A 12,270-nucleotide genomic window follows, 5' to 3' on the forward strand; every position below is an offset into this window, starting at 1 on the left:
GAATTGGAGATGTGTGGGATGTGGGGTTGGGAATAAAGAGGAATCCAGGATGTCTGGGGTTAAATTTCAGATTCGCATCACATCTATGTTTACCTTTAAACGGGAAATCATTATTCCATGCAAGTTGTGTGAAATGTTTAGTAACTAAAAGTCACAGACCTATGAGTAATTAGAGAGGAACCTTTTAGCCTGATCCCTGTTTGCACCTAGAAGCAAGACGAGCTACATAATTTGCATACGAAAAGAATATATGGAGCCCTTTTATAAACTGGAAAAAAGTGCCAGTAAACATACTAAAACGTACAACTTGTTTTGCTTTTGAGGTATCTTGAAATGTTAGTGTTTTTGACTCACTAATGTCATTCTAGGCAAAGAAAAATTAAATTTTTAAGTGAGCACAACTTTTACCGTTCATCATTATATAATGTGCAATGCCAGTTCTAAAGGCAAATATCAGAATATTTAACTTGTATGCAGAATCACCAAAAGTACAAAATTTGTAGCTCATTCATACAAATGGATTTTGTTCTTACCAAAGCAATGAAAACACTGCATAAAACCAACTCGACTGTCTTTATTTCACTTCTTAATATGCTTCTGTTTTAAGACTCTTTACTGTGGTTTACTGATGGGTATGGAAGGACTGGAAAGAAAAGGAACTGTGGATTCTTACCCTTCTCTTTCACGTCCTCATGTTCAGCATAAGAGGTTAGCAAATACAGGGAAGTAACACGAGTAAGAAAAGCCACTGTAGGGTTTCTTGGTTCTTTAATCATCTTAGAACACTATTGCCGCCTCTTGGCTTTCCAAATAAGTTCTGGTCCCAATGGAAGTGTGGCTTCTCAGGGCTGCCAGCGCCCCCATTCACTCCACCATCAATGAAACCTGCTTTCCTTGTATCACTTCTAGGCTCCCTGAGCTCCCACACACTAGGGGCCCACTGGAATTCTCTGCTCCTGGAAAATCATAATCACTCCATGCCCGTGGGGCAGCAAGCAATGGTGGACACAGATAGTGCAGGTGCCTCCTCTGCTAATGCACACGTTCCACTGTCCCATCAGACTTCAGCTACAAAATACAAGTTCAAAGGAAAGAATTTCAAGATGGCAGCAGCAGAGCACTAAACCAGGCATAGGCCCCTCTGAGCACGCAAGAGTTGCATGCCCCATGCCCCTGAAGTTGGGTCTGGCAGTAGGGAAACTGAGGCTCATTGACCTCACTGGATCTCATTACGGTTGGGCCACACAGCTGATGAGCAGCAGGGCCTATTCAAAGGTGTGTTTCTCCAAGTCCCTGGGTCTGGTATTTTTCTCCTACAACGTACAGACCCCCACCTTTATATTCCAGGCCATTCTAATGGCCGGTTCTAATAGCCTCCACTACTTAATGGAAACAACTAAATGTAAATACTTTGGGGAAGTGAATTACATTCGACATATACAAGCTACACCTATTCCTCAATTGTATTTACATTGGAAGGAAGAGGTTTCCATTTTTTGCTCCAGCCCTGACCTAGATGGAGCTTTCTCTAGTCAGATTATGATGAGAGCAAATGGTAGATAAAGCCCTTTGTGTGGAGCCATACAGACAGGACTCCCACTCTACATGCTAATGAATGCCCAATGGCATTGTGATTTATTTCCCAGGAGCCTCAGAGCTCATGGAGGGGAAAGAGAGGCTTCAAGGCTCATCTGCTTGGCTGGAGATACCAGTGGATTCTGAAGAAAAGAATCCCATTTCTATCCAATCAGCAAACATACTCTTCAGAGGAGCCCCTTCATATACCCTGTGCTATGTTCAGAGTCTAGGGAAAGATGGATAGGAAATCTGAACAGTTTGAAATGTGGGAACAGCAGACAAATGCATTCATTCTTTCATTTACTCATGCTTATTCCTATATTATCCCTTCAATCATGCATTGTATTTCCATATTTATGCATGCATTGAACAAACATTTCTGAAGTGCCAGGTGCCCTGCTAGACCCTCAGTCTGCGGAGATGAATGCACACACCTGAGTAGATGCTGCTCTTGAGCATCTTACAAGTTGGATAGGGAGGTCTGATTGGGATTATCAACTGGGTAGCATTTGCACTGGGCTTTGGGGGACATGTAAGAGTCCACCAGCTAGACTAAGTCAGGAAGAGCACAGAAAGTCAAAGGAATACAAACAAAAGCAAGTATTCTTTTGGTCTCAGCATTGCAGTACTAGTAGATACAGAATTTGTTAGTAGAGGTAAGACCTTTATGCTGAACCAGGGAGCATGATGCATATAAGAGTCCTGATGAGTTAGAAAAAAGCTTTATTCTGAATCAGGATTTTAGGAAAACAACTCAAGTGGCATGTCTGGGAGATGGTAGGTTGTGGGGAGGACTGTGCTGGAGGGTGGAGGGCTGAGAGTGCCTAGCAGCAATGCAGGTAAGACACTGGCAGCAGCTGAGATGGAGAAAACTCAGGCATGAGGAAACTTCAGGAGGCAAACCTCAAGTTACCCAGCTCAGTGAGAGGAACCATCATAGACTTTGTTTTCTAAGCCAGCAGCCTGAGATTTCCCCTTGTGGCCAATACAACACCCACTTTTATAATCTTGCTTAGCTTTGTTGCCTTTGAGATTCTGCTTACACGTTGGTTTTTGTCTGCTTGCTTGTCTTCTAAAGGGTTCTTCAATAAATCCCCATGTCAGACTCGACTTCTAGAGAAGCCAACCCAAGTTAGCTGTATGAGAAGCAGTCCCAGGAGACAGAGATTCAACCCAAGTTAGTTGTATGAGAAGCAGTCCCAGGAGACAGAGATTAGGATGGGCTCTGGAGTTGGGTCACCCATCACTAAACTGGAAATAAGGATATATCACTTTGGGGAGGAGGAGGAATATAGTCCCTGGTGTGCTGTTGCAGCACGAACACCAAGATGCTCACCTATGGTGAAATAGGATGGAATGCAGGTGGAAGGTTATACACTGGCTGGGAGAAATAGTCATGGACTGTGAGCATGTGGCTGTTGTTGGGAGCAATTGATGTATTGAAGAGAAAATGACAGGCTCCCTGGTCAGCTAATCACTAACATAAGGCAAAGCATGAAAGCCAGAGGGCATTGTTGGTAGCATCTGAAAACACACTCATCCCTTGCAGCTGGAGAACAGACTCAGCTGACAGGCAGACATAGAAGTTAATTGTAAGCATGGCAGGACTTCAGAGAAGCCTGAATAATCAAGTTGGACATTTCTGCTATAACAACTTTGGGGTCACAAAAGGAGGAGGGCTTGAGATTGGGATGGGGACATCTGTGCAGATGCACTTACAAACCTTGAGTCCTTAGACTCCCCTGAACAATCTGCACCTGAAGAAACAGCTCAACCATGTAAGAAACTACATAACAGAAAGTAACCTATAGGATACGCTTGCCCTCAAAATTGACCCCTCCACTGCCCCGGCCACCAGATGCATATCTAGGGTAAGACCTACAGCATGACCCACCGGGGCTAAAAAATGGAAAGGATTTGGCTTTAAAGGAGCTGCAGGATGTGGCTACTCTTTGTCAGCAGGAACTATAAAGGCACACTCGGGAATGCTGGATAGAGGGGCAGATAATAAGACCAGTTAAATCCTGTGACAAAATCTTTAACACTCTTGTGGGAGACTTGAGGCATTGTTTTGATATCTGCCTGAACGTTCCTTGGAAACTTGGAAAAACTGGCTTGTAGGAAATGAATTCCAGTTGCAGAAGCTGCTGCGGCTGACTGTGGCAAGGAGGAATATGCAAGTAGGGAACAGCACCACTTGAAACCTGGGTGGCACTGTCATATATAGACCAGGTGACCATAGGAGACGCTGTTATAGAACCAGGTTCCCCATGGCAAAAGACGTGAAAGAATCGCAGGGCAGCAGAGGCTGAGGGGAAAGCACCCAGGCTTTAGACCACAGCTGGACACAATTTGCCATAAAGGGTAGTGAGATTTGGAGGAGTCACAGGTTACCTGACCTTCACGGATCTACGGAGATGGAAATGAGGATGAACAATCCTGAGGATAAGACAGATGGGCCTCCAGCCTGGCTAAGTTTTGTATTTTTAGTAGACAGGGTTTTGCCACGTTGGTCAGGCTGGTCTCGAACTCCTGACCTCAGGTGATACACCAGCCTCAGCCTCCCAGAGTGCTAGGATTATAGGCATGAGCCACTGCGCCCAGCCGAAACAACTGGTTATTTAAGAAAGATAAAATATAGGACAAAATAGAAAGTTCAAACAGATTGTCAAAGGTCTGTGCAAGTCATAAAATACTCATGAAGAAAAATTGATAAAAGGAAGCTTAGTTATAATTAAGTTGGCTATAATTCAAAAGATATTTATGAATTCTAAAGATTCTAAACATTTAGTCTTGGTATTAAAAATACACTGATACGGCCGGGTGCGGTGGCTCACACCTGTAATCCCAGCACTTCGGGAGGCTGAGACAGGAGGATCACAAGGTCAGGAGATCGAGACCATCCTGGCTAACACGGTGAAACTCCATCTCTCCTAAAAATACAAAAATTAGCCGGGCGTGGTGGCAGGCGCCTGTAGTCCCAGCTACTTGGGAGGCTGAGGCAGGAGAATGGCTTGGACCCGGGAGGTGGAGCTTGCCGTGAGCCGAGATTGCGCCACTGCACCCCAGCCTGGGTGACAGAGTGAGACTCCATCTCAAAAAAAAAAAAAAAGAATACACTGATACAAAACTAAAAGGGCAATTCTTATATTCTTATGTTAGAACTATGGGGTTTTTCTGAAGTATTGATTGGCTCTTAGTAAAAATTGCAGGACTTTTTCTTTGATTCTAAAATCTGTTTTAACAACCATCTTCTCAACTGCAGACAGTTTCTATTTCTGCTACATTTCTTTCTGAGATCCATTTAATTTCCCTAGTTTCAGGTTGGAAAACTGCCTTCCTTGTTTTGAATGGTAATGTGATTTCTCGAGGTGGAGTTTTCATCCTGAAGCTTCTCGGACTCAGGTCTGACAAGTTCCACTTTTGCTGCCTCTCAGCACGTGATTTGCAGGTCAGGCGTCTTTGCCTTCAGCTCTTTTTTCCCCCCATGAAAAGGTGTATCTTTTAGCTTGGCTGGAGTGATCATTCTCTTCTGACTTTCTAGCAGCTCTTACGACTTTTTCTCTCAATCTAACTCTGCTTTTACCTGAGACTGAAATGTTCTGTCTTAAAGGCTTAGAAAAGCAATGTTTTCCCCCAGTACAACTTGATTCTTTAGTTTCTCTTAATGCATCCGAATTGTTCCAAATAACTAGGAAACTTCCCATGCTATTACTAAGAACCATGTATTCTCCTGTTCAAGATACTAGTTTTCTTGTTTATCTTCCTTTATAATATGGTGTACATTCATAAACTTGGACAAACTCTTCCTGTGTCTAATTAAATTTAAGTACCTTTCTCATCAAGTTCAACTTCGTTTATCTAAATGGGCTTCCCATAAGGAAAATAAATCACATTGCAGAAGGTTTTTTTGTTTTTACCTTTTTAGTGTCTTCAGGCCTAAGAATCAAAGATTTTGCTTCTTATCCAGATAACTTTATGTATTGTCTCTATTCAGTTTTTTTTTTTTTAATTTGGGAAAATTGAGCCTTGAAAGGATTTTAAGGTGAGTTTTAACATTCATGTAGCTTTATTGCTTTTAAAGTTCTTTATTATCACTGGTTAAATGATTATCAAGAATTCTGAGATTTTTTTATATATCTTCAATGGGTTTCTCTAATATCTAAATTCCAAATTAAGTCTTTTTGGCCTAAAAATTGAGATTTTCCAGCTGGGCCCCTGGAGAGCCTCAAAAGATGTATCTCTCATCTTGGAGATAGTACATGATTAGGCTTATTTGGTAAATTGGAAGGGAAGAATTGTCAAATGATAAGTGACATTAAATTTTCTTGCAGTTACATTTGTTATTGATATGAATGTATAAATTGTACAAAACTTTTAGAAATCTAATATTTCACCAGTCATAGTTCTTGTTACTATGTTGTATGTAACAAAAACAACCAAATTTCCCTGGCAATTGCTGATTATAATGAACTCCCATCAGATTTTTAACCATGGCTATTTTATGTTTCTGTCATCTAATTATTATTTTAATTTTTCTCTAAAGGCATCTGCCATCAGAATCATGAAAAGGACTTTAACAAATATTCTTAAATGTAAGTTTCTAATAACTTTAAGATCAATGAACTAAATAAACATTTTCCAGAACTCTAATAAAGAATCTGATGGGTTCATAAAACTGCTGATCAAGATCAAGCAGAACAAGAATTAATTACGTGAGTTAAGTACCTGAAGATAATGTTTTTATGATTTTTATTTGAAAAATATTGTCTCTTAAATGTTTTGCTTTCCATATTTAAGGAAATTTTTTCTTAAGCTATCTATAGATTACAACAATGTGGTAATATATACTTTTGTGAACAAAGATGGAAACATTTGCTTTTTCTCTGTTATCTCTCTAAAATTCAGAAAATATTTGAGTATTCTTATGGAAATATGGTTATTTGCATAAGTTCAATAAAAATTTGCTGTCCCTTTATAACAGGATACAATTGAAAACATTCGTTATATTACCAAGAGTGTGACTGAAATGTCGTATTGGAGAATGTGCATAAAGTGCCAGACTTCAAGTGTTTCTGACTTTACAATGAGGGAGTAAAATTATAACTTCCTACTAGGCCCAGGAGGAAACGTAGAATCTGCCTTGCTCTGACTATCTATCCTCAGGAGGTTTTTACATCTGAGATTTCTATGTGATCCACAGAAATAAAAAGTCATGCTTCCAAAAGAGAAACCATAACACACCTGGAATTAGATCGTAGCTCTGTGCATCGTTTTTGAGTTCTTCTCTAGCTACAGGCAAGACTAGATCCTGAATTATTCTAGATTCCTCCTCTCCAACTTTCTTTCATGAAATTATTAAAACTAGGAACTGCTGTTCCTGAAGTCCTTAGGATGAAACTCGATAAAATATAAGGAACATAGTGCCATATGTAAGGGTCACACCCAAAGTTCACCAAAGTCCCCAAACCCCAAACCAGGCATTCAAACTGCAAACCAGCATGAGAAGTTGACATTTTCATGCTGTAGGAAGCTTTTCCTAAGATGTCAGAATAAGATTCCATATCATAATGAGACTCATAGTTTCCCCTTTATGCTACCTTTTTTATTTGGCAGGATAATGGTGTCATCGAAATGTCATACTCGGTAGCTTCTGGTAATTTGAAAGAACCTAACCAGAGAGATCCTTCAGTCCACCTAGTGGGTAACTTTTGACATCATCCCTAATATAACTTCTGCTCATTCTCTGCTTTAATTTTACCTGGTCATGGGATACCTAATGCAGAATATTGCTCTATATTATCTATTGGTTAAATTTAAAAAACGTCTGTGCTATTGCTAACTCTACATGCTGTACCTGGATAAATTCCTCTTGGTAAGCTGAGACCCATATATATACAATATAAGAAAACAGGCAACCTATTTGACAACAGATGTCTCCTAATTTCCTGTGATCATTTGTTGTATTCAGTTGGTTGACTTTTAAGCCCTTGGTTCATGGCTCAAAACCATTATGCAAACTGGGGTTGTCATATTACTATTATCTTATTTTATATTTTCCTTTTTATACTTTGAACTTGTTACTTAATTTTTTTCAGAAGTACAACTCCTAATAGAATAACGCTGGCCCAAGCACTTTGAGATAGCAAAAATCTATGAAACAGATGAAATTGAACTTAATAATGGACTCCAGGTCACAGCCCGAGAGCCACTCCCTTTGAATCTCCCGTGTTGCTCAAATGTGACTATAAGGGTTTTGACATGGACTGCCTCCAAATGGGACCAGACCAGCAACCCAGCATAGGCCTATGGAGGCACTGAAGAATAACTGAAATCTAACTACAGAAAGATGGAGTGATGCTTTGGAGAAAGACTTGATCAAAAGAAGAAAAGGTGAAGGTTGTCAAAATCAAAATGAAGTCACTTGTGGGTTTTCTTGTTCTATTTGTTTTTAAAAACCTGACATACAGAGCTGGGGAAGCCCATGGAGAAAGGGTTCTTACACATATTTTCCTGATAACAAAAACTGTCACGAGAGACTGCAAACACCACAACTTTGCCCAAAAGCCCTTGCAACCTTCATATACAACACAAAAATTATTTCTGCAATGACATCTATCCAGCAACTACTTGTCCAACCTTATTATCGATTCTTATAGCCAAGCATAATTGTCTCCATTATGTAATCCTCATTTTTCTTTTAGAATTCTTTGTCCTCCTATACTGTCTTGAATAACACATAGTTTACCATTATGGCATGTGTATTCCCATTGCAATGCCCTATTCCCAAATAAATATTTTCTTTTAAAGAAGGTACTATTTTAAAGAAGTTGTTTAGGTGGCAATGGCTATCCTGCCTCTGTGCTTCTTCACATCATCTTCCCTCTGCACATGCCTTTCTCCGTGCAAATCTTCCTTTTACCTAAGGATACCAGTCACTGGATTAGGACCCACGCTAGTAATTATATTTTAACCTGATTATTATCCCTGTAAATACCCTATTTCCAAATAAGGTTACATTCTGAGGTTACTGGCATTAAGATTTCATCATGTCATTTTGGGGGGTGATGGGGAAGACTTAGAATGTAACCTTTGACAATAGAGACCCAGCAAAGTAAATCAAGGGTAATATCACATGTTCCACATACTCTGATTAAACTTTATGCATGGAGAGTGCATGCAGGGAACGGGGGAAGCCCTGACCTAGCCTGGAAAAGGCAGGGATGCCTCCACTAAAGATCATAGCTTCAGTTTGTTGTAACAGAATAGATGTCAGCCAAAAGGTAAAAGAAAGGAATGATATTTCAAAGATGGACAAGGAGAATTGTAACTAATTAGGAAGCTACTGATGAGGCCAGAATGACGACCAAACATCAGGTTATGAAATTGTCTTACATACCATAAGGAGGAGCTCTGGGTACAATTCTGAAAGAATGGGGAAGAAAATAATTATAAATTGTGAATATAATTAGAATTGATATTAGAATCTTTGAAAGAGCTGAAACAACATTATACCTTGGGGTGATTTTAGCACTCACCATTATTCTCAATATAGATAAGATTTTTGTTTATGGCAACTGTCTCTCTGAGGAAAAGTACCATAAGCTAAATTGACCCAAATCAATTGAGACTTTTCATTAGACCAAATGTTTTAATAGTAAATTATGTGCTTGTTTGAGAATTGAGAATAAATGTTGTAGACACAGGGACACAAATGAAATTTTAATTCACCAAAGCTCATTCTCACGTTCTCTACAGCACAAAAGTTTCTCAATTATAAAAAACCAGTGGAGCAAGTCAAAATAGCCATGCATGTTGAATTTACCATGACAGAATCTTATTTATAACTTTTTTCTTCTTTTTTTGGAGATGGAGTCTTGCTCTGTCACCCAGGCTGGAGTACAATGACGTGATCTCAGTTCACTGCAACCTCCACCTCCCAGGTTCAAGCAATTCTGCCTCAGCCTCCCGAGTAGCTAGGATTACAGGTGTGGGCCACCATGCCTGGCTAATTTTTATATTTTTAGTAGAGACAGGGTTTTGCCATGTTGGCCAGCCTGGTCTCAAACTCCTTACCTCAGATGATCCACCTGCCTTGGCCTCCCAAAGTGCTGGGATTATATGTGTGAGCCACCACGCCTGGCCTATAATTCTTTTTTTTTTTTTTAAAGGTCATAGTCTTTCATGTGTTTCCCCCACCGCCCCCAAAATTCATATGTTGAAATCCTATTCCTCAGTACCTCAGAATGTGCCCTTATTTTGAAATGGAGCCATTGCAGGTTATTAGTCAAGATTAGATGAAGTTATATTAGAGTAGGGTGGGCCCCTAATCCAATATGACTTATGTCCTTGCAAACATTTGGATGTGAGACATTCAGCATGAGAATTGCATGTGAATATTAGAGACAAGGGACTACCAGGAGCTAGGAGGGGCCAGAAACAGGTCCTTCTCTAGAACCTTCAGAGGGGCATGGCCCTGCCAACACCGTGAGCTTAGTACTTCCGGCCTCTAGAACCTTGCAACAATACATTTCTGTTGTTAAGGTACTCGGTTTGTGGTATTTTGCTATGGCAGCCCTAGCAAACTAGTATGTTCCAGAAACAGCAATACGTTGCTTGTCCAGGCCCTGTAATTCAGGCAGATGGAGCCATATTTAAACTTTGGACCCAGCAAACCAATGGCTTTGGTTATATGTTGATTGTGACAACCCATTGCTTTAACTTTGGCAGCCTAGCGGAAAAAATGATTTGGTAACAGGTGTCATTTAAAAGCCATTTCATTAGAAGGTTCTTTTACTTGGCCACAAAGAAGCCATTGAGGACTTTAGCTAGAGACCCCATTCCAAGATGAACCTCTGAGTCATGGCTCTGCACACACCCTGAAGAGCCAGCACTGTCTCCAAACCCAGGTGAGGAAAGTCATTCCTCATAATAGGAAAGCAAAGAAGATGACATCTTTTCTAAGGCTTTTAAATCTTATACCCCAAATGGGTAATGTTTTATTTTATTTTTATTTATTTTTTTTATTATACTTTAAGTTCTAGGGTACATGTGTACAACGTGCAGGTTTGTTACATATGTATACATGTGCCATGTTGGTGTGTTGCACCCATGGTAATGTTTTATTTAGTCTTGAATTGATCGACAATCTGCCTTCTGGTGCTCTGGGTAAATTTCCTGACTTTAAGTTGCTGAAAAGACAGTTTACAGTTCACTTGGATGAATCAGAGCAAATGTCTCTTGAAATACACCCTCCACCAAGTTTCCCCGGTATGCATTTGGGTTTCAGTTGGGTGGGTATTTGATATTTAATATAAAACATGAGATTTTATTTGGGTAGGTATTAGTTTTTTTCATTGAATATTTGGCAGGAAGACAGGATTGGCATCTATGATGGTTAATTTTATGGATAAACTTGATTGGGTCACAGGATGCCCGGATATCTGGTTAAACATTATTTCTGGGTATGTCTGTGAGGGTGTTTCTGGAAGAGATTCCCATTTGTTTTGGTGGACTGAGTAGAGCAGATAGCCCTGAAACATGGGGAGAAGGGGGGTGTCATCCAATCCCTTGTGGACCTGAATAGAATAAGAAGGTGGAGAATGGGAGAATTTGCTCTCTCTGCCTAATTGTTTGAGATGGGACAGCTTCTCCTGCCTTCAGACCTGGACTTACACCATCAATACTCAAGGTTCTCGGGTCTTCAGACTTGGACTGGAATCACTAGCTTTCCTAGGTTTCCAGTTGCAGATGGCAGATCATGAGATTTCTCAGCCTCTACAATCATGTCAGCCAATTCCTCATTATATATCTATTTTTTAATGTATATGATACACATATCATATAGGAATGTATCATATATATCATAGTAGAGAGATATATATATCTACTGGTTCTGTTTCTCTGGAAAATGCTGATACTGCCTCCAAAGCACCACTTACTGTATAATTATATGCTTTTGTCCTATATAGTTTCGCCAAAACTTTGAGAGTACAAATAAATCACCAAAGCTTTAATAGTGATCTCTTTATTTCATTTATATCCTTATCCCTTAATTCATTTATCCAAACACACACACAAAAATGTTGGACTCCAGCTATATGCCAGCCACTGAGCCAGGAATGCAGAGATATAACGTACAGGGATCCAGCCAGGGCACAGAGGTGGATAATGCACAAGTTACAGTCCCTGCCCACAAGCAGCTCTTGGGCTGGCTGGGGAGACAGACCCAATAAACATAAGGGACATAAAATGTTCCAGCTGCTGTCACATCCTGCCTGCAGAGGGATGGAGGGCACTTCTGCGTGAGACTTGTCCTCTTCCTCATCCTTAGATCAGCCCAGGGGCCTCACTCCCTTCCCATGTCAAGCTATGTAGGAGACCTTCTGTGTTTCCAGGTTTCCTGGTACTTCCTAAAATGATGGATAGGGCTGGGCATGATGGCTGATGCCTGTAATCCCAGCACTTTGAGAGGCCAAGGCAGGTGGATCACCTGAGGTCAGGAGTTTGAGACCAGGCTGACCGATATGGAGAAACCCATCTCTACTAAAAATACAAAAATTAGCTGGGCGTGGTGGCGCATGCCTGTAGTCCCAGCTACTCAGGAGACTGAGACAGGAGAATCGCTTGAACCTGGGAGGCGGAGGTTGCAGTGAGCCAAGATGGCACCACTGCATGCCAGCCTGGGTGACA

Source organism: Homo sapiens, chromosome 8 (genome assembly GCF_000001405.40).
Source record: "Homo sapiens chromosome 8, GRCh38.p14 Primary Assembly".
Classification (NCBI taxonomy): domain Eukaryota; kingdom Metazoa; phylum Chordata; class Mammalia; order Primates; family Hominidae; genus Homo; species Homo sapiens.